This window comes from Homo sapiens, chromosome 16, assembly GCF_000001405.40.
Source record: "Homo sapiens chromosome 16, GRCh38.p14 Primary Assembly".
Taxonomy (NCBI): Eukaryota; Metazoa; Chordata; class Mammalia; order Primates; family Hominidae; genus Homo; species Homo sapiens.
The window spans coordinates 7,032,962-7,059,217 of NC_000016.10; the positions used below are offsets into that span (position 1 = coordinate 7,032,962).

A 26,256-nucleotide genomic window follows, 5' to 3' on the forward strand; every position below is an offset into this window, starting at 1 on the left:
TGTGAGTCAGCAGGAATAACGCTAAATGGCTGGAAATCAGCTCAGCAAAAATAGCAGGAGCACCTACTGTGTAGAGACTGTCCACTAGCCCTGTCTTCAGAAGGCAAGAAAGGAATGCCAACTCTCTCCTCTTGGGCTGAGTGGGGAGATGAGACAGGGCAGGGAAGAAGGAAAGTGCAGTAAGCAGGTTCTGATGACGAGGCGGTAAAGGTGTTGATTTTAGGGATTATAGGGAGACCACCCGTGCCTTACCTCCTCCTTAAAAGTCCAAAAACAGGACGGGCACAGTGGGTCACGCCTGTAATCCTAGAACTTTGGGAGGCCGAGGCGGGCAGATCACCCGAGGCCAGGAGTTTGAGACCAGCCTGGCTGACATGGTGAAACCCCGTCTCTACTAAAAATACAAAAATTAGCCAGATGTGATGGCACATGCCTGTAATCCCAGCTACTTGGGAGGCTGAGGCAGGAGATTCGCTTGATCCCGGGAGGCGGAGGTTGCAGTGAGCCAAGATTGCGCCACTGCAGTCCAGCCTAGGGGATAGAGGGAGACTCAGTCTCAAAAACTGAAAACAATGGTGAATGTGAACGTCCTTTAAGAGGACAGAGCTGATCATCATGGGTGATATGCTTAGGATAACTTTAAAGACACAGAATGGCTCCCTGTGGGGCAACTTAACAGAAACAAAAGCAGATGAGGAAGGGAGGCTGGGATGGGGCTTGGTTCCCTATTGAACAGTAGAAAGACATTTTGTCCGGGCGTGGCGACTTATGCCTGTAATCCCAGCACTTTGGGAGCGTGAGCTGGGGACCAGCCTGAGTAACATAGCAAAACCTCATCTCTACTAAAAATAAAACAAATTAGCCCACTAGAGTGGCATCTGCCTGTGGGCCCAGCTACTCAGGAGGCTGGGGCAGGAGGATTATTTGAGCCTGGGAAGTTCAAGCTGCAGTGAGCTATGATTGCACTGCTGCATTTCAGGCTGGGTGACCAAGCAAGACCCTGTCTAAAATGTCTAAAATAAAATAATAAAGGCATTTAATTCAATACTTAGTGAATACTTGGATTTCTCTCCATTGCGGAGATGAGGTAGGTATGGCAGGGGATGGGGACGCGGTGGTGCAGGTGTCCATGCCATGGCTTAAGTGCCATCCCTGGAGCAACAGGACGTTGTCTGAGTGATTCTCATTGCTGGTTCTGGATTCAAATAGCCTGGGTTTGACTCCTGGCTCTGGTTTTTCCTAACTTGGGGCACCTTGTTTAGCCTCTCTCCATCTCAGTGCTCTCATCTGTTCAAGGGGATAATGATAATGACAGTATCTACTGGGTAAGGTCCCTGTAAGAAGTCACTGTAGGATGAAGGCAGAAAGCTAGATCATGCCTGGTAATGACCAGGTTGGTGCTGGAGGAGAGGGGGCTGAGGTTGGAGATCATCAATGCACCAGGGGTCTCGGGATGATGAAGAGAGTCGCTGCCCTCTGCTTCTTCCCCCTTCTTCCTTGCTGGGCTCCAGCTGGCTGAAAGTGTATGACCATCTATCTCTAGGGCACTTCAGAAAGATGGATGGGAAGTGGGAAGAGGGGATGAGGCTGCCTAGAGAGCCTTGAAATTTTAACTTCTGTGAAATATCCAGAGAAGATCCCTGGCAATGTTTTTGTGTCTATCTCATTGAAGACACATCAGTGAGGCTAGCAGAGGGCCCTCTTTATTGGGGAGCAGAACAGGAGACATTCGCCTTTCAGTGAGGACACCTCACATCAGTGCCCCTGTAGATTTATTGTGAATTACCTGGGGTTTGGGGGAGGGGTCTCAGAAAATGCAATTTCTAATTCACTTGGTCTGGGGTGGAGTCTAAGATATTGCATTACTTTTTTTTTTTTTCTTTTTTCTTTTTTTTTTTTTTTTTTGAGATGGAGTCCTGCTCTGTTGCCCAGGCTGGAGTGCAGTGGCGTGATCTCTGTTCACTGCAACCTCTGCCTCCCCGGTTCTATCGATTCTCATTCCTCAGCCTCTGAGTAGCTGGGCCTACAGGTGCCCACCACCATGCCTGGCTAATTTTTGTATTTTTATTAGAGACAGGGTTTTACATTGTTGGCCAGGGTGGTCTCAAACTTGTGGCCTCAGGTGATCCACCCGTCTTGGCCTCCCAAAGTGCTGGGATTACAGGTGTGAGCCGCTGCACCGGGCCTCTGAGACAGTGCATTTGTAATGAGTTTCCAGGTGATGCCAACGCTGTTGGTCCTCAGTCTCACTTTGAGTGTTAAGATCCTGCAGGATACTCCAAGTGAGAACTGTACTTGGGATTCCGCACCCTCCCCTTCATTCCTCACCCAGGCTTGCCCATTTGACTGTGGTGCTGGCCCATTTATCCTAGTTAAAGGGTTCCACAGTTCCCTGTGATTATCCCTCATGATACGGATCACGTTATACACTTAAATTAAATAAAATGCACCCTATCGAATGCACTGCACACAAAAAGAATATTTATTTGAATATTAAGTACAGATAAGACTTCCCCTGGGATTATTTCAGAGCGCATTTGCAGAATTTAATTGCAATATTTTCCCACTCAGTTTCTTTCTGAACGCTACTTGTGAAAATATTTTCTTTCTGAAGGTAAAGCTCTGCGTTGTTGGTTTATTATTATTATTATTTTAAATCTGAAGAGCTCTCTGAGCTCGGTCATTACTTCCAGTGTCTAATTAATCCTGATGATGATAAAGTAAACAGCCAGGTGACCTAGATTTTCCTTTTAAATTGCTAGCAATTAACATGAATGCCTGCTCATTGTTGCAGAACTTTTGGGAATCTAGTCCTTCCAGTTAGGATTCCTTAAGTTGGGGGTTTTAAGAGTTCATTTTGTGTGAAGCATATGTCTTCCAGCACTCCTTCCATTAAGCTTTCCAGGAAGAATGTGAACACAGACACACACACACACACATATACAGAGCAACAGTCACCACCACCACCCAGCCAACCCTTTCAGACAACTGAACTGGAAAATTAGAAAATGAATACTCCTCAAGTTTCTCAAGCTACAGAATCCTTCCCATTTCTTAAATAATGACATTTTGTAAAGTCATAGAAATCAGCAATAGAAAAGACCTCTTGTGTAAAGATCTCTTCAGATGCGAAAGTCAGAATAGCATGGAAAGACAGCCTGGGGATGTCCACCTTGGGTGCCTTCTATCCCTATTTCCTTGTCTGGAGAATTGGTCCCATGGGACTTAGTTCACCTTGACATTTTTTTTTTTTTCCATGACAGCCTTGTAGTTGTTACATGATTTATTTCTTTTGACATTCTCTACAATGTGTAGATGTGGATTTACAGTGTCCCATCCTAAAACTTTCAGAAGCAGTAGCCAATTTTTCACAATCTTGGTTTTCTACCGCTGTGTTATAGGAAAGGGGTCCCAATGCAGATCCCCAGATAGGGTTCTTGGATCTCCCTCAAGAAAGAATTCAGGGCGGCCGGGCGTGGTGGCTCACGCTTGTAATCTCAATACTTTGGGAGGCTGAGGCAGGCGGATTACAAGGGCAGGAGTTTGAGACCAGCCTGGGTGTCTGTACTAAAATTAGAAAAATTAGCTGGATACTGTGGCGGCTGCCCATAATCCCAACTATTCGGGAGGCTGAGGCTGGAGAATCGCTTGAAACCGTAAGGCGGAGGTTGCAGTGAACCGAAATCGTGCCACTGCACTCCAGCCTCGTCGAAAGAGCAAAACTCCGTCTCAAAAACAAACAAACAAACAAAAAAAACAAAAAACAAACAAAGAAAAAAAAAAAGAAAGAATTCAGGGAAGTCCATAGAGTAAAGTGAAAGCAAGTTTATTAAGAAAGTAGGGGAATAAGAATGGCTAGTTCATAGACAGAGTGGATGAAGGGCAGAGGAGCCCCTCATCAGAGTGGATGATGAGCCCCTTGGGGCTGCTTGTTTCCCATTTTTATGGTTATTTCTTGATGACATGCTAAACAAGGAGTAGATTATTCATGCTTCCCCTTTTTAGATCATACAGGGTAACTTCCTGACGTTGCCATGGCATTTATAAACTGTCATGGTGCCAGTGGGAGTGTGGCAGTGAGGACAACCAGAGGTCACCTTCGTCACCATCTTGGTTTTGGTGGGTTTTGGCTGGCTTCTTTACTGCAAACTGTTCTATCAGCAAGGTCCTTACGACCTGTATCTTGTCTTGTGCTGACCTCCTATCTTATCCTGTGACTTAGAATGCCTTAGCCATCTGGGAATGCAGCCCAGTAGGTCTTAGCCTCTTTTTTTTTTTTTTTTTTTTTTTTTTTTGAGATGGAGTTTTGCTCTTGTTGCCCAGGCTGGAGTGTGCACCGGCACAATCTTGGCTCACCATAACCTCCACTTCCCAGGTTCAAGAGCTTCTCCTGCCTCAGCCTCCCAAGTAGCTGGGATTATAGGCATACACCACCATGCCAGAGGTCTTAGCTTCATTTTACCCAGCCCCTATTCAAGATGGAGTTGCTCTGGTTCATAAACCTCTGACAATTGTGATGCTGTCTGCTAAATATCTAAGGAAACAGTGAGGCACGTCCAGTCCACTGTCAACTTATGAAAAGAAGAAATCACAACAACAACAACAAATGGACTACTGAATTCAGTTTACTTTCTTGTAGTGAAAAGGCACGTTATATAGTGCTTTCCGTGTGATAGGCACTCTTCTAATTGCTTTGCAAATATTAACTCATTCAAATCATGTGATGACCCTGTGGGGCACATGGGTAGACCCAGGCAAGGAATTTGTTCAAGGTCTGTAAGCTAATAAGGAGTTGAGTTGAGCTTTGAACCTTGGAAGTCTGGCTTTCGATTTTGTTCTCTGAACCACTGCATTTTAGATGCCTCTCAAATGTCTCTCAGTTAATATGATCAAGATGACTGCCCAGATAAGGCCATGGCCTGTGTGTCTCTGCTGAATCTATTTAATTGGGATGCAGATTATAAAATTATCAACTTCTGATAAAATTATTATTAGAGCTCTGTAATATCCAATGAGAAAGAAAAAAAATTACAGTTAAAACATCTTAACTTGAAAATGTCTTGAGAACATATATTCTATCCCAGTAGAGAGATTCAAATGGTATGTAAATCCCCCACTTGCCCTCCCCTCCACACTCTTTCCCACCTCTGGATGTAGAGAGGGGGATGATGGGAAAATCTTCGCTGAGATGCTCATTCTACACAGAGTTTCCTGGCTATAGGGTAACGATGGTCCCAGGAGACCGGTTCAGGGAAGCATGCCAAGCCCTTTTAGTTACCCAGGACATTTTGGTGAGTATTGCTTGAATTTTCTTAGACTGAGCAAGGGTTTGGGATGGGATGGGGTTGAAGGAGGGCAATTATAACCCTTGATCATGAGGGAAAGAAATGGTGATTGCTTTCGCTGCTGAAACAAATAGAAATCATCTTTGTAATAACTGCAATTGTTTTCTCCAGCCCTCCTCTGCCTTGGTTCACAAAATACCTTATTAAATCTGGAGAATAAAAATGTACCTGGGGTAATGGTTTATTATTAGAATAAATAATAGGCAATATGTTTCTTCCACCCTGCAAGGTATCAGATGCCAAGACATTTCGTGGTTTAGCTTGTAAAGGTGCTTACATGTGTCAGACCAGCCAGGCTCTTCATGGCCAGGGGCTGCCCTTTCATTTCAAGACCAGCATCAAGCCTGAAGTGAACAACTCCACGAGACTGCATTCTTGCAGAAAGCAGATGTGGGAGGCCGAAGGGGATATTGGCCACGTGCTGCCTGGGGCTGCCATGTCTTGCTCAATGTTTGTCTGTCTGATTAATCTGTCTGGACCTGGGGGACTTCTTTTGTTGATAATGGGGTCTTTACCAAGAGGGTGCATGGCAGAGCAAGTGTGAAAAGCACTTCCTCCCAAGAAAACACCTCATTAAAACGTGTAATTTGAGGTTTGTTCAAATTCTGTGGGCATCCTGACCTCTGACATCCCTTTAATCAGATAACCAACACTTGAATCTCTCCAGTGACTTATAGCCAGAGCAGTGACTCTCTTGATATAAGTACCATTATTACCAAACAATATGATGTTTAAAGGAATATCAGAAGTGCTCACTAAATGTGTTGTCCTGCCTGGGAGATAGCACCCCATAGGTCATTCGAGTGCTAAGAATACTAAGTGTTTTGAGATTTTAGGATATGCTCCATAAAGTATTCCCGAGGACTCTTAGCCATAAATTAAATATGTTAGAGCTTTCAGCATTTGGGTTTATTGTGCAAGTTTACGTATAACAACAAATCCATTATTATTTTTTCTACTTAGTACTTAGCCTTGACAAGCTCTTTCGTCCGTCTCCCTTGACCCTCCAAAGCTGGCATCCTTTCAAAACCAGACAAGATTTTTACAGCAGATAATGGTCTTCCCCAAGGTTAAGAGGAAAACATCGTGGGAGAGCTGGGTGTGTTCTCCAAGCTATTTTCTCAAGTGTATTTTGTTCGTTTATGCAACATGAGACAGAATCAAGTTCATTAATCATGGCTGACTTGAGTCATTGTTGTGACTTTTTGTTTTTACTTTTTTAATTGATTATTTCTCACCTCCTTTCCTGAAACCTAAGCATTTACTAGTGTAACACACTTTTGTTCTTCCTTGTGACAAAAAGTAACAACCGCCATGACCGGTGGTGGGATCTGTATTTGCTTATCTGACATAAACTATCCTGTCTTCTTAGAATCAGAGGACACACTTTATTGTGTGATACACTTGCAAGAAGCAGTGGGTATGATTACAACCATACGTCGGATTATAGGACTGTATTATGTTCAAAGATTTCAGGCCTTTATAAACTCAGGTATCTAATAAACATTACACATGAGACCCTAGAAGCAGACGAGGCAAAGCGACCTCTCTCTTTTTATTTTCTGTTTGTACTTTTACTTTCCTACTGAAGAGAATCCACACAAAAATACTTATGTCCCTGCAGAATTGGAGCTTTTGTTTTGTTTTTCAAGATAGCCACCCTACATTTACTCTTTTGGTGCTATGGGGAGTTATTTTATTATTATTATTATTATCATTATTATTATTATTTTGAGACAAAGTCTTGCTCTGTCACCAGGTTGGAGTGCAGTGACATGATCTCAGCTCACTGCAACCTCTGCCTCCCAGGTTCAAGCAATTCTCCTGCCTCAGCCTCCCGAGTAGCTGGGACTACAGGTGCCCGCCACCATGCTAGCTAGTTTTCTGTATTTTTAGTAGAGACGGGGTTTCACCATGTTGGCCAGGATGGTCTCGATCTCTTGACCTCATGGTCCTCCTGCCTCAGCCTCCCAAAGTGCTGGGATTGCAGGTGTGAGCCACCGTGCCCGGCTGAGTTATTTTATAGCCACCATTAATCACATACTTACTATGTGCCAGGCCAGATTTGGCTTTGATGCTCTACAAATAACATCTCATTTAATTATTACAATAACCATATAACTCAGGCATTTAAATTATATTATTATTGCTGCTCTTAGTATGAATTTATAAAACTGATGCATGCTCATTGCAATAAGTTGAAGTGATATAACAGAATCCAAGATTAAAAATGAGAAAACCTGCTTCTCTGTCCCTTCTTCTCCACTATTGGTCTGGTTCCCAGGACATCATTTTTCTGCTTTTGTCTGAAGTTTGTTGTTTATCATTCCAGACTTTTTTCCAGGTATAAATGGATATTTTTCTGTGTGTGTACCTTGTGTGTGTGCATAGTTTTTTATACACAAATGGATTATAGGTTAAAAATGATTTTAACTTGCTTTTGTTTTATTTTGTCATAGACATCATTCCTGAAATCATTCATTTTCTAATGGATTCATAATATTCCGTAGTATAGGTCAAAGTTTGGCAAATTGTGGCCATGGGCCAAAGACAGCTCACTGCGTGATTCTGTAAATAAAGTTTTTTTTTTGTTTTGTTTTTTTGTTTTTTTGTTTTTTTGCTGGGGGGGGAAGGAGTCTTGCTCTGTCCCCCAGGCTGGAGTGCAATGATGCAATCTCTGCTCATTGCAACGTCCACCTCCTGGGTTCAAGCGATTCTCCTGCCTCAGCCCCCTGAGTAGCTGGGATTACAGGCAAGTGCCAACACGCCCAGCTAATTTTTTTTTTTTTTTTTTTTTTTTTGTATTTTTAGTAAATACGGGGTTTCACCATGTTGGTCAGGCTGGTGTCGAACATCTGACCTCATGATCCACCCGCCTTGTCCTCCCAAAGTGCTGGGATTACAGGTGTGAGCCACCACATCCAACCCTGTAAATAAAATTTTATTGGAACACAGTGGCACCCATTTGTTTACACGTTGTCAGTGGCTGCTTTTCCACCATAATGGGAGAACCGAGTAGCTGCAACAAAGACAAGAGAGTCTGTGGCTCTCAAAGGGCAATGCATTTCCTATTTGGCTCTTAGGAGAAAAAGTTTTTCAATTCCTAATGTAGATGAACCACAATTCTTTTAACCATTTCATTACTTGTGGACATTGGCATTCTTCTCAGTTCTGGGTCTGTTCTGTGACAAGCGCTGTCCTTACTTCCTCATTCGCCGTTGCACTCTGGTAAAGTGATTCCTAGAATACTAACCATTGAATTAAAGGAAATGGAAGTTCTACATAGTGATAACTGCCAGCTGCCCCCTCGAAACAGTCAGTACCAATTTACCACCCTTCTTAAAAAGATAATATCAAACCTTTCGAAAGGAATCTGATGCTACAAAAGTGTCATTAATTTAGCCAAATTCACAAGGCCTCTTGGGGAACAAAGCCAGGATTTGGACCCAAGTCATTTGACCCAGTGCTTCTTGTGAAAACCTCCTGTGTCATTAATTTGAATACCAATTGCTGGTATTTGCTGAATTTTTAAATGTGTTAAGTGCTTTGCTTAGTAATTCTTATAGATTATGCTCACAATAAAATTAGACACTTTGCAGGTACCATATTATCTCTATGGTACAAATGGGGAAATTGCCTGCAGAGATTATATAATATGGCTAACGTTACTTAGGAGATGTTCAAGGACTGGACTTCCTTAGTCTGATTCCTTAACCTCCAGTCTCCATTGGGGAGAAAACTGGATCTACAGAAGGGCCCAGTGCTTTGATATCAGAGAAATCTAATTTGGTGGAAATTATACTGGTTCTTACCTCAATAAGCCAAGTTTGGAAATTTATGTGTTTTATGGAACTAGACAACACTAGCTAGTCGGTGCATGTCTTGTTTTAGAGAAACACAAGTGTGTAAACAGCATCTTGTCAGGGCACAGTAGCTAATGAGCACCTGCTAAGGACAAGTGAGGCGCAGATTGGGGAGGAGGGCTAACAGTGTAGGTATCCATGGTTTTGTTTGGTTTACCTGACCCTGGAAACTGTGTACAATGGTGATTCAGAGAGGAAACCTAGTCAACCCATCCAGATGGTAATTCCCTCTTGAATATTTCCTATCTTTACGGTTTTAGGAATTCACTCACTCTGTGCCTCAGTTTTTCCACCTGTAAAATGGAGCTAAAATCAAATCAGCTAATGAAATCAATTGTCAGCTGCTTACAAAGTTCTGAGAATTAACTAAGCTTATAACTAGGAACTGTTTAGCACATTTTATGACATATTACAAACATTGGATACATTTTAACGAATGTTAGTGTGCAATTTATTTCAGCAAAAAGTGATTAAGGCCAGGTGCAGTGGCTTGCGCCTGTAATGCCAGCAGTTTGGGAGGCCCAGGCGGGCGGATCATTTGAGGTCAGGAGTTCAAGACCAGCCTGGCCAACATGGCAAAACTCCATCTCTGCTACAAATGCAAAAATTAGCCGGGTGTGGTGGCGCTCACCTGGAATCCCAGGTACTCGGGAGGCTGAGGCAGGAGAATCACTTGAACCTGGGAGGTGGAGGTTTCAGTGAGCTGAGATTGCGCCACTGCACTCCAGCCTGGGTGACAGAGGAAGACTTTGTTTCAAAAATAAATAAATAAATAAAGTGATTAAAACAATTACTTTCCTAGCAGCATAGTTAAAATTGAGCAAAACCTAAATATTTTGCAATCCCAAAGTTCCTTCGCTTCCATCCTCCACCCCCCACAATCTCCCTGACTTTATCCTGCTTTTGACTGTGCCATTCACGGTATCTTGTTTCTGTATCCTTGGGGAGGTCCTCCCGCCCAACTCCTATTTACTCAGTAAGGGTTAGATCAAGGGTCTCAGCTCCAGAAACAACTGACTGATGTCTCCTCCACTGCTTCCCGTCCTTCAGCAGGCTGGGTTGGTGCATCTCCTTTGAGCACCCCTGGAACCCTGTTTTTTCTTTTCTATCACATACGACCCTGTATCATCATCATTATTTTATTCATCACTCCTCCCCTGTCTTTTTTAAATAAAATGTACAATGTGTCATTTAGATACACACCCCCTTTCATTAGCACAGCGCTAGGCAGTTAGTACCCTGAGTACATATGTCAAATGTGTATCATAGTCCTGAAATGCATCAAGGAAAACGCAAACTCCAGGGCTCACCCTAGGTACTTGGAGACGTGCGTTTATAGGAAAATGCCATCTTGTTTCAGAAGAGTTTATAATGATTACAAAAACAGCAACGCTGAGAAATAAAGCTACCAATTGATTTGATATATTGAGTTCTATGCTGGTAAACTTGTCCAGTGTTTTCCTTCTAAGTGATTCATAATTGTCCTGAAAACTGGATTTTCCAACATTCTATTATTGTGGACATGAAAACATGAACATCTATTTATCCATTCATTTATTGTGTGTCTTCTGTTTCTTTGGACTCCTACTTTCCCCAGTTCAAGTTAATCTCTCACCAGTTCCCTCTTGCACTTGACTCTTGTGTCATATTCAATTACTGCACTTCCATAATCTCACTGAGCTTTCCACACATCCTCCTGCCTTTCCTCTGAATATATTTTTTTCATTCTTTACCTGGATACATTGTCTAAAAGACAAAACAAAAACAAACAAAATACACTAATACCTTTTTCAATTCTCCAAGACAAGTTGGGCCACCTCCTATGCACTGCAAGCACCTCTTACACTTTCACTGTACAAATGTTCTCTGTATTGTAATTATCCATAGACTCATCTTTTTCCCCACCTAGACAATAGCTCCAGTAGCCTTCTTTGCTGTTGTATTCCTGGCACTTAGGACAGTGTCTGACATCCAGAAGGTGCTTGAGATATGTGTATGTATATGTGCATGTGTGGGTATGGGTGTGTATGTGTGTGAGTAAATATATATGAAAGGATGGATGAGTAAACAAGTGGATTCCAAACATCGTACTCATCTCTAGAAAAGGAAAGCCACCTAAGGCTCAGTTCTAGTTCTTGCAGAGCCAGTCTGATGTGTGGGAGAGAAAAATCAGACTGAAAACAGGGTCAGAATAAAGCAGGAAGAACTGATAAGAGAGAACTCAAAGTCAGGAGAAGGATGAAAAAGGCTGAGTGAGAAAGCGTCTTTGGCCCTGTTGGCTAAATGAAGATAGGAGACGGGGAAGATGAATCCCTGCTATTAAACATCTCGTTCAACCGGGAGAGCAAAGGGTCTCATGCTGAAGTTTATTGCTTCAGTTTCTAACCTTTCATAAGTGCTTACTTGGCAGCCCTTTCAAGAGTGGTATTTGATTCTGGAAGCATCTTAAAGGAACAGCGCCCGACCTTCCACTTTACTTTTTTTCATTTAGGCCATAAAATATATTGGTTTTGTGCATTACTGCCATGGGAGAAAAAAAATATCACATGTTAGTTTCCAAATGAAATGACATTTGATAAAGTGTACATTTAAGATATTTTTCAAGGCTAGCTTTTAAAGAATGCACAGGCAGGGTCTTTCTTCATCACAGACTGTAGGGAGTTACAGGTGCCTTTTTTTCCACCTCCCCTCTCCCCACCCGGAGCCTCTCCCATAATGGTTATGGAGAAAATTTTTTAAGAGCCTCATTAGTTGCAGCAATAACTTACTGAGTCTTCCAAGAATCATTACACCCTGTTTGGGGTGCTGTTTGATGAGCAAGGTTGCAGCCGAAACACACAACTCATGATGGGATTCTGCCGTTTTGTGCAATGGACAGCTCTTTCTTCACGGAAGATGTGAGGAAAGCATGGATCTGCATTCGATGATCCCTACTTAAAGGAGGGGAGGTCACTGGCCACCTAACTCATGAGATGTGTATGTCACTGGATTGACTCAAATTGGCCAGGGACTCCCACTTCCAAACAAAGGGGTTGGCAGTAGGTGGAGTATGGTGGTGGTGGTGGCAACCAGTTTACTAATAATTTATGAAATGGAACAGGTGCATGACCCAAAAAAAGAAGCAGGATATTGTCACTAGAATATAAGCAAAATAATATGGGATGCTGTGCAGGGAAAAATAAACACAACAAAAACAAACATGTCTACTATAGAGATTACTTGAAATATCCTTTTTCTTATTCCCAAATCTCATTTTCCTTATTTGGCTTCATTTGAAGGACAGCATGGCTATTTCCTTGGCTACTGTTGGATTTTGCATTGTCTGCAATAGGAATATGATAATGTGGTGCCACTTCACATGGCACAAGTCAGAGGTCAGTAGGCCCCCTGGTTCCTTCAGTGTCGTCATTGTGCTTTTGTGAGTCTGGCAAATCCTTGTGATATTTGAAGGCAGATGTTAAAAATATTAATCTTGTTATATACTTTTTTTTTTTCAATAGAGCGAGACATTGTCTCGCTTTGTTGCCCAGGCTGGAGTGCAGTGGCTTGATCTTCATTCACTGCCTACCTCTGCCACCCAGGTTCAAGCAGTTCTCTTGCCTCAGCCTCCTGAGTAGCTGGGACTACAGGCGCATTCCACCACGTGTGGCTAATTTTTTTGTATTTTTAGTAGAGACAGAGTTTTACCATGTTGGCCAGGTTCTTCTGGAACTCCTGACCTCAGATGATCTGCCCACCTCGGCCTCCCAAAGTGCTGGGATTACAGGTGTGAGCCACCATGCCCGGCCAAGATAAACTTTTTATTAATTAACGAAAATCAATGCTATCACTATTACTATACATTTTTAAAAACACTTGTATTTCTGCAAGGTACTGATATTAAAATACTTGCTGATTATAAATGCCCTGTATGTCACAAAGGATAGTTTGAAAACTACAGAAAGCATTAAGAAGGAAGCATTGCCCTCAGTCTTTAATTGCATCAGCCATTTAGTTTATATTTTACATGTAGACAGGTGTTCCATTTTGACTTAATTTTTGTATAAAGTGTGAGGTTTAGGTAAAGGGGTGTGTGTGTGTGTGTGTGTGTGTGTGTGTACACATCCAGTTACTCTATCATTATTTGTTCTGGATGTTTCACTTTTTTCGGTTTTCTTAAAGGTTGTGTTATAGGGATTATCACACACATATTTCTCTCAGTCTACAAGACTCAGTATTTTGCCTCTTTAGTTGGAATGCAGAAACCTTATCACCCATGTTAATTAGCTTGACTTCGGTGATTGTTTTTACAATTTATACATACATTAAAATATCAAGTTCAATACGTTAAATATATGTAATTTTTATTTTTTAATTGTGCCTCAATAAAGATGGGAGATAATAAAGTTTATCACCACGTATGCCTCTTTGTTTCTGTAGTCTTTGTGTTTTATCTTTTTTTTTTTTTTTTTTTTTTTGGAGTTGGGGAGTACAGAGTCTCAGTCTGTGTGCAATGGCATGATCTCGGCTCACTGCAACCTCCGTCTCCTGGGTTCAAACGATTCTCCTGCCTCAGCCTCCCAAATAGCTGGGATTACAAGCACGCGCCATCATGCCCAGCTAATTTTTGTATTTTTAATAGAGACGGGGTTTTGCTGTGTTGACCAGACTGGTCTTGAACTCCTAACCTCAGGTGATCTGCGAGCCTCGGTCTTTCAAAGTTCTGGAATTACAGGCGTGAGCCCCTGCGCCTGGCCTATATTTTGTTTAACTTCCGTATTGTATATCCATAAATTAAAAAGCTCTTCATGCACTTCCCTCCCCCCCAGTTTTTTGCTTTAAGCCATTAAACATATTTTAATGAACTCAAGAGTATAGAAAGCTCTTCATGCAATTTCCTTTTTTTTTTTTTTTGCTTTAAGCCATTAAACATATTTTAATGAACTCAAGAGTCCAGTCACCTATTAACATTTACTCATATGTTTACCATTTCCATTTCCAGCTCTTCCTTTCTTGTTGTTTGAAGTTTCCTTCAGGTATCCTATTTCCTTTATCTGGAAAACTTCCTATAGCGATTATTTTAGGGCAGGTCTGTCTGCAGTGAATTTTCTTAGTTACTTTCATATTTCACCTTCATTTCTAAAGGATATTTTCATTGGATGTAGTATTCTCAGTTGACAATTATTTTTTCAGTATTTCAATAACTGTGTGTTATTTTCTGCTGACCTCTCTGGATTTTTGTTTGTTTAGTTTGGATTTTGTTTTAAATCCATAGTTCTTTGAATTGTTGGGCCCTTACAAGCATTGCATTGTTTGTCTCTGGTTGTTTTCAGTGTTTTAATTTTAGGCTTTACCAATATGACTGTGATATATGTGGTTGTGGATTTCGTTGATTTTAACTCTTTTAGTTCCTTGAAATTGTTTATATCTTTTGTCAAATGTAGGAAGTTTTCAGCCATTATTTCTTAATTTTTTTTTTTGCAGTGAACTCTTTATCCTTATATTCTAGAATTTCAGTAACATGAAATATTGTACGTTTTGATATTTGTTCCACAGGTCCTGCATTTCTTTTTTTTTTTTTTTTTTTTTTTTTTTTTGTCTTCAATTTTTTTTTCCCCTATGTTGTTTAGAATGGATACTTTTTATGTACTCAAGTTTACTTCTTTTTCTTCTGTTGTCTTCATTCTGTGTTTGGACACCTTCAGTGAGATTTTATTTTATTCCGTTTTAATTAATTAATTATTTTTTTTGAGACGTCTCACTCTTGTCACCCAGGCTGGAGTGCAGTGGTGCAGTCTTTACTCACTGCAACCTCCCCCTGCCGGGTTCAAGCGATTCTCCTGTCTCAGCCGTCTGAGTAGCTGGGAATAAAGGTGCCTGCCACAACGCCTGGCTAATTTTTGTATTTTTAGTAGAGAAGGGGTTTCACCATGTTGGCCAGGCTGGTCTCAAATTCCTGACCTCAGGTGATCCGACCCGCTTGGCTTCCCAAAATTCTGGGATTACAGGTGTGAGCCACCGTGCCCAGCCCAATATTTTATTTTTATTTTTTTAAAAAAATTTAGTTATTTTTATGGTTGTAAAATTTCCTTTTGATTTTTTTGTTTTGTTTTGTTTGTTTGTTTGTTTTCGATGGAGTCTTGCTCTGTCTCCCAGGCTAGAGTGCAGTGGCACAATCTTGGCTCACTGCAACCTCTGCCTCCCAGGTTCAAGCAATTTTCCTGCCTCAGCCTCCCTAGTAGCTGGGACTACAGTCGCGTGTCGCCACACCCAGCTAATTTTTTGTATTTTTAGTAGAGACAGGGTTTCATCGTATTAGCCAGGATGGTCTCGATCTCCTGACCTCATGATCCACCCGCCTCAGCCTTCCAAAGTGCTGGGATTACAGGCGTGAGCCACCGCGCCCAGCTCCTTTTGGTTCTTTATTATCTTTTGTTTCTTTGCTAATGCTGTCAATTTTTTTCTCAGTTATTTTCAGTGTGTTTTTTCTTACCGTTTGGAGTCGTTTTATAACAGCTGCTTTAAAGTTTTTATTTGATAATTCCAACATCTTTGCTATGTTGATGTTGGTGTCTGTGAATGTCTTTTCCCATGCAAATTTAGATTTTCTTGGTTCCTAGTATGCTAAGTCATTTTGGTTTGTATTCTGGGTATATTGAATATTGTGTTAGGAGACTCTAGGTCTTGTTTAAAATCCCATGGAAGTTGTTGATATTTTTGTTTTAATAAGCAATCAATCTTGTTGCATTCAGGCTGAAAGCTCTTGCTTTTCTTCTGTGGATTTGTTTCCAATATCAGTTCTGTTGGGTGTCTCCCATATATATATCAAGTCTGGGACATGGGCAGTAGTCTATTCCTTAGTTCAATTCTCAAAGCTTATGGAAACATTTTAGGGTCAGATACAGACATGAGCACAGAGGTCAGTGCAGGAGTTTATAAAAATACTGTTTGGGGGTGATTTTCCCAAATTATTTTCTCTCCGGGATCCTCAAAGTAATATTTGTTTTCTAGGGTTCCCTGTTTGTTGTCCTCCACCCAGAAAGCTGGTGGTTTTTTGTTTGTTTTTAATTTTTCTGTTCACCTGCTTCTCATCTGAGTCTGCATTTAGGGCAAAGTGTCAAGAGAAGAGAGGAAATAAAGAAAAGCAATGGGAGGTGGGAGTTGTTTGCCCAACCTCTTGAGACCACAGTCCTAGATGTTAAGTGTCTGCAGCCACCCCTGTTGCCACTGTTGTTTATACATGAACACTACCCTGAGATTGCCTGGAGACTGCAGCATAAGAGGACACACAAACTTTTAAAAAGAAAGAACAGTAATAAAAAAAAAAGAACAATGGGGATTTTCCCTATTCTCTTAGTGTTAAGACTCATCTGTCTTGTTTTTCAAGACAAAACCAGAGTGCTTCTCCTGAGTCTTTATATGGCTGGGTGTCTGATTTTCAGCCCTTGGCTACCTTGCACCCACACTAAGGGGTATTGGTGGTGGGAGGTGGTAATTCACCACTTATGTGGCGGTACTTTAAATTTTGGTCGTTTTGTTCCCCCCTCCACTTGCTGCTTTTTAATTTTCAGAGATCTCAAATAGCTCCCCCATGCATTCTATACAGATTTCCTTGCTGCATTCAGTGGGGGAAACAGGATGAAGTGTTTTCGCTCCATCTTGTCAAGAACCGAAACCTCACCACCCACTTCATTTATTTTGTGTTAAAATACACATAAAATAAAATTTACCTTTTTTATCATTTTAAAGTATACATTTTACTGGCATTTAAGTACATTCACAATGTTGTGCAAATATCCAGTTTGAGAACATTTTATTCACCCCAAATAGAAACCTCATACCCATTAAGCAGTCACTCCTCCTTTTCCATTAACCCAGTCCTCTGGCAACATTTAATTTGTTCTCTGTCTCAATGAATTTTCCCTACTTCATCTTTTAACAGTTTATGGAGACATAATTTACATAATATAAAGTCACCTATTTCAGGTGTATAATTCAATGTGGGCTTTTTTTTTTTGGATATTTATAGAATTGTACCAGTTTCTTTTTTAATTTTTTGGAATATTTCTCCCAGTCTTTTCCTCTTTAGCTTCTTTTTTTTTCCTTTATTTTTATCTTTTTTTTTTTTTCTTTTGAGATGGAGTTTCACTCTTGTTGCCCAGGATGGAGTATAATGGTGGGAACTCAGCTCACTGCAACCTCTGCCTCCCAGGTTCAAGTGATTCTCCTGCTTCAGCCAACTGAGTAGCTGGGATTACAGATGCCCACCACCATGCCCAGCTAATTTTTGTATTTTTAGTAGAGAAGAGGTTTCACCATATTGGCCAGGTTTGTCTCGAATTCCTGACCTCACATGATCCACCCGCCTTGGCCTCCCAAAGTGCTGGGATTACAGGCATGAGCAACCGTGCCTGGCCTTCCTTCATTTTCTTTAATGATCTGTTTCACTGTATTTTTAACCCAAGATAGGAACCATAATATTGTATATTTCTGTGGTTTCTTTTCTTAACAACTAAATGGTGTCTTTTGAACATTTTTCATATCTCTATATTTAAAACTATGTTTCTAAATGGTACATGTTATGCCATACTATCAGTATACTATATTTTTTAATTTTTCCATTATCACACATAATGTTTATAATTTCTTTTTTCATACATAATGTTGTTGTTAATTGACATGGAAATAAACATTTGTGTGCCTCTGCATATTTTTTTAAGAGCTAATCTTAGTGGTAATATTTCTGGGTAAAAGGGCATAGAAAAGCACTGATTTATAGATTTGGGGCTCTGGTGCATCCTTAAGTAAATATTCTTCCTTTTTTGTTTTTAGAGAAAGTCAAAACAAACTTTGTATACAAAATGCGTAAAATATACATCAAAAGTTGGTTCCTAAACCTTCATATCCCTTAGTAAAAGTTTCAAAAACTTACAGTATATTGTCTGGTCCTGGAAGTCGGGAGTTGTTTCACTGGTTAAAAAAAAATACTGGAAAGATATAGAATAAAGGTGAATGAAGACCTAAATTTTATTTCAGCTTAACTATTTTAGTTGACAGTGGAGTCTACCAGCTCCTGATGACAGAATGACCATATATCTCAAAATTCCTTCTATGTGTTCCTTTTTATTTGTGTCCTTAGCATAATCATGTAATACGACTCCACCCATCCCCTTAACCCACCTATGTTTTCTTGTTTGGATAATAAATTATATGGCCACTCCAAAGAAGCGTCCTTGGACATTAAGTAAAACATGTCAGTAGGGCAAAGATAATTAATGCATGGCATATGTATTGCTAATACCCACTTTCCTATCTGATGGCCGATACCAGAAACCTATCAGGATCTCTTTCTGTGATTGAAGGATTGGCTTCACAATTCTCCCCAGCACAATCCTATGGGGACTTACTACCATCTGATTAGAACTGGACCATAAAATGTAACCCAGTTGCCAAGGCATGACAACTGACACTACTGGCCCTAAACATTGGAGAAGACTTTGTGTGTTTTCCACTGACTTATCATGACCATCTGGAGTGGGCCTTTATGGAGGAATTCTTGCACCTGTGATATAGGGCAAGCTGGGGTTTTCAGGGAAAAGGGTGGGGAGTTTCATGACAAGAGGGGAGGTGCCCTCATCCCAGGCAGATGCTGCCTCCCACACATACTCCTGCACGTCTCTCCTCTTCCCCTTTCCAGTCTCTGACTTATCCTAGCTGTGCTTCTGAATCACACAATTGAACTCCAAGTGAAGCTTGAGCTATGTAGACCTAAAGAAAAATTAAATACATAATTAATTAATTATGGGTTTTCTTTGAGCTGAGTAATTAAAAGTAACTTTCTGTTTTCTTTCATGTTTTTCTGATCCGGAGCCTTCTGACTTTTCCCCTTCATTTTCTTTTCTTTCTAGGTTTCAAGACAACAGATGAATTGTGAAAGAGAGCAGCTAAGGGTAGGTGCACCTGCTTGTAAAATGCTTCCTGATTCTCATTTTTGTGTGATAAGCAAAAATTTCCTTGTCTCTCCCAAGACACGGGTTCTAAATAACAGGCTTCATCTTAAGACTGGTAGAGTTGAAAATATTTATCCCAGCTTATTTAGTATTGATTGAGCTGTTAAATACAGTATATCTTCTTTGGAAGTGCCGTTATAGTAGATATGGATTTTTTGATTTAGATTCAGCAATAAATACTTTTCTTCTGGAATTTGTTTGACATCATTGTACTCTTTTTATGTACAACACGAGGTCTAAGTAATAACAAAGGTCAAAAGGATGGCTGGCTGCCTTCTTAATATGAATACCAGGCTGTTTGCTGAGTGGCTAAAATGCTCTTTGGCTGTTGACTGGGGTGGGTGAGCAAGGAATATGTCAAGGGCGTTTTCTGGGAGAATTTGTGTTATCTATAGACCTCTTGGTTTTAGTGACATTTGTGTATATGGGAGAGGGAGACAAAATTTTAAACCTTATATTCTGTTTCCCCACTTAAAAATGAAACTGTCTTGGTGCTCAGGCATATCGGTGTAAGAAGTATTCCCTAGATGTGCAGGGAGTGTTTGGTTATAAATGGAGCTTGGTGACATTGTTCTGCTTTCATTGTGTCAGAGTGGACATTCTTCTTGGTATGGGGATGGCATTTTAAGAAACTTTGGGATTTCTTCCCATTTGTTTTCTTCTAAATGAATTCGTGTTTTCAGTGGATGAGATTTAGATTATGATTGGTGTATTTTTCATGTCACTAATGGAAGTTGGCAGTTTTTACTGGACAATGTGCCTTATAGCCATGTTTTCAAATTGTTATAAAAATCAGAGAAATATGCTGCTTTTAAAACCACAACAGTGGGATTTGGCGTTAGGAAACTCCTGTGCCCAAAGGTGTCTAATAAATAAGCATAATGTATTTAACAGGCCTAATGCCTTCATACACTGCCCTGTAACTTTTCAGAGCATTTACCTAATGATAGTCTCATGATGGCAATAATTTGTAGAGTTGCTTCCATTTCACAGTTGCTGTTGGCATCAGGTTTGTGAAGTACTTGGGTAAAATAAACAACAGAATCCAGGTGCATGAAACCGAGAAAGTGAGACAAGGTTTTCTGTTTCTTTTATGCATATTTGTTTTATGCAGTATCTCAGTATGGCCCTCTCTACCCACTTTCCTCCAAGTACCTGTGCCGACATTCGTTGTGACCCTTTCCTTCATGGAACAGACTTCAAGATTTTTAAGCTTTTCTGAACTGTCTTACTGCTTTTTTCCTGTAGTCTGAATTACTGGTTCATCCTGTTAAATAATGTATTACAACTTTAGATTTCTCTTGCTGTTTGGATGGGGACGATGGTCAGAACTAGGTCAGAGCTAGATAAAGAGAAATATGTGCCTTTGTCTCCAGGAGTCCCTGATAAATGCCTGAGAATTAAGATAATATTGAAATCTCTATTGCAAATGACACTTGCTTGGCAAGTTAAGGACGCAGTAGGTAATGAAGGACCTGTTTGCATTTTGAGGGATTATTTCCCATTTATGAGTCCATTGTCGACAGGAGTGTGGTTTAGGTTCAAGAATGGAGTCTTCCCCTCTCTGTTACATAAATGCAGGGAGTGGCTTGATATTAACATAATGGTTCATTTAGTTTAGTCCCAAGTATGGCTCCAATAGCCCCATCTCTAACATCACGAACCAGTGCTTTGTTTGTTGTTACTTTTATGGTCACTGTTCTTGCTTTTTAAATGAATTTATGTTTTGAATTGATAGATGGCACATTTGATTGGATAGAGCACACATATATAGGGTTCAAAATTTAAATAGTACCAAAGAGAGTGCAATGGAGTTTTCCCTTCCCACGTGACTTAGGCGTCTAGTTCCCTCTGGGAGACCCCTAGTGTGATTAAGTACTGGTAGCTATCTCATCTGTAGATATTTTCTTCTGCCCTCTTCATTTTTGTTCTCTGTCTTTCCATCTCTTTCTTCTTCCTTTCCTCCCTCCCTCTTTTCCTTTCACACCTGTGTCTGTAAGAGCCCTTCCATCACCTCAAAAGAAAACTTCCCTTATTAAGGTGATTTTTTTTTTCGGGGGGGGGGGGCGGGGAGCTTTTTTTTTTTTTTTTTTTTTTTTTTAGAGAGAGTCTCTTTCTTTCATCATGCTGGAGTGCCGTGGCGCAATCTCAGTTCACCGCAACCTCTGACTCCCTGGTTTAAGCAATTCTCGTGCCTCAGCCTCCAGAGTCGCTGGGATTACAGGCACGCGCCACCACGCCCAGCTAATTTTTTTTGTACTTTTAGCAGAGATGGGGTTTCACCATGTTGGCCAGGATGGTCTCGATCTCCTGACCTCGTGATCCGCCAGCCTCGGCCCCCCAAGGTGATGGGATTACAGGTGTGAGCCACTGCGCCAAACCTGGGTGGGGGGGCATTTTTTAAGGGTTTCTGAAAGGAATTTAGAACTGGAAGGTAAATACCTGTCCATCTCAATGAAATGCATTTTCCTCAATCTCATTTTGCTTTCTTAGAAAGAGAGTGGAAGAAAATTAGAAATCTGTTTAGTTACCACATCGTTGAAGGGTAACTGTCTGCAAGCCACAATAAAAATGTGTCCTAAGTGCAGCAGTCAAAATGCATTTCCAGATTTGCTATCCAGGATGACTGGACTGTGGCCGTGTTATCATGTCGAGGGTCCTTCATTAGTGCATTCTGTTGTCAGAATTCAGGGATATAAGTGGATAGTTGTCAAATTTATTCCTTTTCCTTGGCCTCCTGGAAATAGCAGATGATTTAGAAAGATAAAGCTGCGCTTTCTGTTTTGTGCCCCATCGAGGCTGTGTAGGAATTGGCGTATCCAATACTTGGTGTTAGGATCTCCTTTCTTTTTCTCACGAAGCCTAAATTAATTTTTCCAAAACAGACACTGTGAAGTGCTTAATATCTTGAAGATATTAAGGAGTCTTTAAAATGATCATATGATTAATTTTAGGAAATACCATGTTAAAAAAAGCTAAACAGTTTTTATTTTTTAACTGCAGGTCTTCTCATAGCCTTTAATTTGCAAAAATGAAATACAAAGAGTTGGATATAATATACAACGTTTTTCTAACTCAGCTGACTACGCAACACTTTTGTTTATAGAACATACTCTTGAGATCATATCAGTATTATCAGTTAAGATGCTATTATCTGTGAGTTATAGACAAGCTAAGAGTTATGGAAAAGCTAAGAGTTATTTACAAAAATAAATAACTCTCCACCTCCCAGTTCCAGGGTTGATTCAGAGGCTTTTTGGTATCAGGGCAGTGGTTTGCAATCCCTGTGCTTCCGTTGGCCTTTCTTTCCTTCTTCCAAGATGTCTGCCATCTACCCCATATCACGTTCTCACAGGGCAGCACTCTCATCAGAAGGAAGGAGAAGAGGAGTTTCTCCTTCACACGTCTTGCATTTTACTGCAGGAAAATAATTCCCAGAATTCGTCACTGCAGTCGTTTTCTTAGATGTCATTGGCCAATCTCTACATCAATCACTGGCAAGGTGAACTGGAATCTCAGCGATTGGCTACAGCAGTTATGATTCATTTGCAGCATCAGGCACATTGTTACCTGCACAAAAGTAGGATTTACTTAAACTGGAGGAAGCAGAAAATGCACTCCAGTGTTGTTACCCAATGGAGTCTGCTACAAAAGGAATTCACAGGGGTCCACTCTGTTTGTCAGGGTGCTGGTTTCCTGTCATTAGTTTTCATTACTCTCTTTCATCCTACATGTGTGGGCTCAGCAACTTTGTGAATTCTGGTTTGTGGAATTTGACACAGATGATTTCTCTGCCAACATTGAATCTCACAGGTCACATCTTCCATCCTAACCTATATCCTAACTTTTCTACCCATCTTGGCATTGTCTTTGTATTTTGCCTTGTGTAATTTGGACTGCACTGGATATAGTCTTTGGTCATATCCCCTCAGCATTAGGTGTGGGCAGCAGGCATGGGGCATCGTGCATTAGTAACCAGCTCAGCCCACAGATGCTGTCCATGAGCTTCCTGTCCCCTACCCTTCCCCAAAGAAGGGCATCAGCCAGTTACTCCCAACAGTAGGGTCACTCTTCTCAGAGAACTATTGGGATTACTTACATCGCTCGGTTGTTACGCACACTACACAACAGGGAAACTTGTTCATTCCTCCGTCCCAAGGTTTGTCAATCTAGAGTAGACTGAGTGTTCTTCTGAGCTTGCAATTCACATTATTGGCTGGATTCTTCTGGGGACATGGTCAGAGGAGCTCACTATGGAATCTGTGCATTAACCACTCCTGATCCTATAGGCTGTATTTACCAGCTTGTTCTAGCATCAGCACAGGTTATGGTGATAGTCGTACAGTGACCATATCCAATTATCAACATTTACCTCTCCAGCATCTGCACCAACAGATGGACAAATAAACAACTAAGAGAGAAATAAAATGATCCTGGGGGCCTGTTGTTTCCCTGAACTATCTACCAGTTGAGGGAGATTGTATGTTCATAGGGTGGGAGATTCCAAAGCCCACCTTTCTGAGCACTCATAAAATATTTGATTACAAAGGGATCTTTGTGCTTGAGTGGTAGATGTTGGTTTGGGGGCTGATTAACGAGCTTAGTTAGAAAACTACTAGGTAGCCAAATGCATGACTGCCAGATTCTGTTCTGTGGATTCAAATACTGATCTGCAATATGGCAATGTGACTCTATAGTCAGCATACTAGGAAGGGTGGTTAGGGCTGGTGAAGCACTGGTATGGACTTAGGTTCAGATCCCACTTCTAAATGCTCCTTAGTGTCTCAAAGCTTTACTTTACCTATACGTAAAATAAGAATAGCTTTCTCATAGGATTGGTGACTGGATAAAACAACTTCGTTAAAGCACTGAAAAAAAAAAAAAATGCAGGCCTGATACTCAACAAGGTGAGCTACTGTTAATACAGTGTTATTCCCAATAATTATTTCACTTCTCTTCCTCCTAGAAATACCAGGCATGAGAATACAGAGAACACATATCTACTGCCACCAAACTCCCCACAAGGAAAGACAACATAAAGGGCAGGCTCTGTATTTGATTTCATGGTGAAGTATTTAGGAGATAACTCCCTCTCAGTTAAGGTTGTTTGGAATGCAAACAATAGAGACAGATTCCAGCTATCTTAAGCAGAAAAGGCATGCAACCAGGCCTCCCAGGAATCAGAGCTTAGAATGGGAAAGCTGCCTGAACTCAACGTATGTCTTGCTCATCTCCTGTCTTTGTTTCTGTTTATGGGTCCACTCTGGATTTTTCTTTTGATAAAGACTCCCTCTACCTTTATGCACACATCACACCTTCTAGCCCCTAAGATGTATGTTGCATCGCTTTCCACCGGTATAGGGACTAACCATCAGTGCATCCTCGTTACAAATTCCTGGAAAAGGAGCCTGATTGGCTTAGTCTGGATCAGTTGTTCACTCTGGGCCAGTTGGATCTGTCCAGGGAAGTGGTATGAAGCAACACAGTTGCCCAGGGCCAACTCTTGAGGGAAGACTTCATTACTGGGGAAAAGGAGCCATTGCTAGCTGAGTAAATAACACCATAGATGCCGGGTGCAGTGACTCACACCTGTCATCCCAGCACTTTGGGAGGCCAAGGTGGGTGGATCACCTGAGATCAGGAGTTGGAGACTAGCCTAGCCAACATGGTGAAACCCCGTCTCTGCTAAAAATACAAAAATTAGCCAGGCATGGTGGCGGGCGCCTGTAGTCCCAGCTACTCCGGAGGCTGAGGCAGGAGAATTGCTTGACCCCGGGAGGTGGAGGTTGCAGTGAGCAGAGATCATGCCACTGCACTCCAGTCTGGTCGACAGAGGGAGACTGTGGGGAAAAAAAAAAAAAAAACACGAAAACCACCAGATATAGATCTCTGCTATGCTTTCAAAATGTGGATATCAGCTGAACAAAGGATCCTGGAAAATACATGTGCTACCACCAACTGCTAGCTCTGTATTTCTCAAAATATAGGACACCTACCGCACGTCTTACTCACAGCTTTCAGGCGAACACTAACTCATTAAGAAAGGGGGAATCACTTAGAAAGTTACTCCCCTTTCCATTGTCTCTCTGTGGTTTTTATGCCAATCAGAAATGCTCAGTTTAAACTAAAGTATCTTTAGCAGGGCTGTAACACTTTCTAAGCTTTCTTTTTTAAGGGAAAGGGAGTGTGCCTCAGGATGAGAGCCTCCAGCCCCAGAGCATCTCTTTGCACTTTGAAAACATTGTTTGCAAAATACACTATTAAGAATCAGGGGCCTGGAGCTACGCCTACTGAGATAAAATCTAGACTTTGCAACTTAGCACTTTGTAGCCTTGTACATGTTACTTCAATCCTCTCTATGTCAAATTCCTCACCTGTATAGTGGAGATAATCATTGCACAGATTTCATAAGTTTGTGTGTGTGTGTGTGTGCATGCGCATGTGTCTTCGTGTTTGTATTTTTGCATGCAAAAAAAGATTAAACTAATTAATGCATATGAGGTTGTTAGAAAAGTGTCTGGAATAAAAAAGGTTCTTAATTATTGTTGGATATTAATGGATTTTTTTCATTAACTTTTATGTGTGACTGTTGATATTGGTTTTTCATTTACCGTGGCAATACAAAGTTTCCTTGGCACACATCGTATTTTATGTTCCATTTATTGTTCCACTTATTTAAGTTAAAAATGGGTTGCTTTAAAGATAAATATTAACTTCATAATGTTACATATTGCCCGCAGTTATGACAAAGATTGTGATACTGGAATGCAAATGACTGAGTTTTTTAGAAATACTGAAATCATGGTACCCGCCTTGTGAAAGAGGTTGTAGAGCAGATCTGCATTATCAATATTTAATTTGCCAGTTACAAGCGAGTTTCTCATTTCTGCTAGATATGAGAGTGATGTGGATTGCATAATGAAAATTGCTAATGATCTTCTTGGCTTAAACCCATCGCCTTCATCTGGACATCAGATAATGAAACTTCCCAACTGCCTTGCAATTGAGCTATCAGAATCAGAGATACCTTCTCCCGCTGTGTCTCACCCCTCTCCACTT

General features: G+C 40.9%; 1 protein-coding gene and 1 long non-coding RNA gene across 33 annotated transcripts in view; one reads left to right on the forward strand and one right to left on the reverse strand.

The window, feature by feature from the left end:
• Positions 1-26,256, forward strand: part of RBFOX1 (RNA binding fox-1 homolog 1) — a 2,473,620-nt gene that overhangs the window by 1,793,241 nt on the left and 654,123 nt on the right. For all 30 annotated transcript variants that reach the window (NM_001415887.1, NM_001415888.1, XM_017023318.3 and 27 more), the window contains one exon: positions 19,096-19,137. In NM_001415887.1, the coding sequence (NP_001402816.1) occupies positions 19,096-19,137 (42 nt within the window). The remainder of the gene's footprint in view (positions 1-19,095; positions 19,138-26,256) is intronic.
• Positions 9,650-22,530, reverse strand: LOC105371068 (uncharacterized). Of its 3 annotated transcripts, none has more exons than XR_007064968.1 (8): positions 22,423-22,507; positions 20,353-20,464; positions 20,138-20,218; positions 18,854-18,955; positions 18,120-18,174; positions 11,612-11,728; positions 10,824-10,954; positions 9,650-9,937 (listed from the first exon to the last, which is right to left on the reverse strand). It is a non-coding gene; the product is annotated as an uncharacterized LOC105371068 (long non-coding RNA). The 3 variants fall into 3 exon arrangements; XR_007064969.1 differs by lacking the exon at positions 22,423-22,507 and adding an exon at positions 21,640-21,708; XR_007064970.1 differs by lacking the exons at positions 20,138-20,218; positions 20,353-20,464 and having other exon boundaries at positions 22,423-22,530.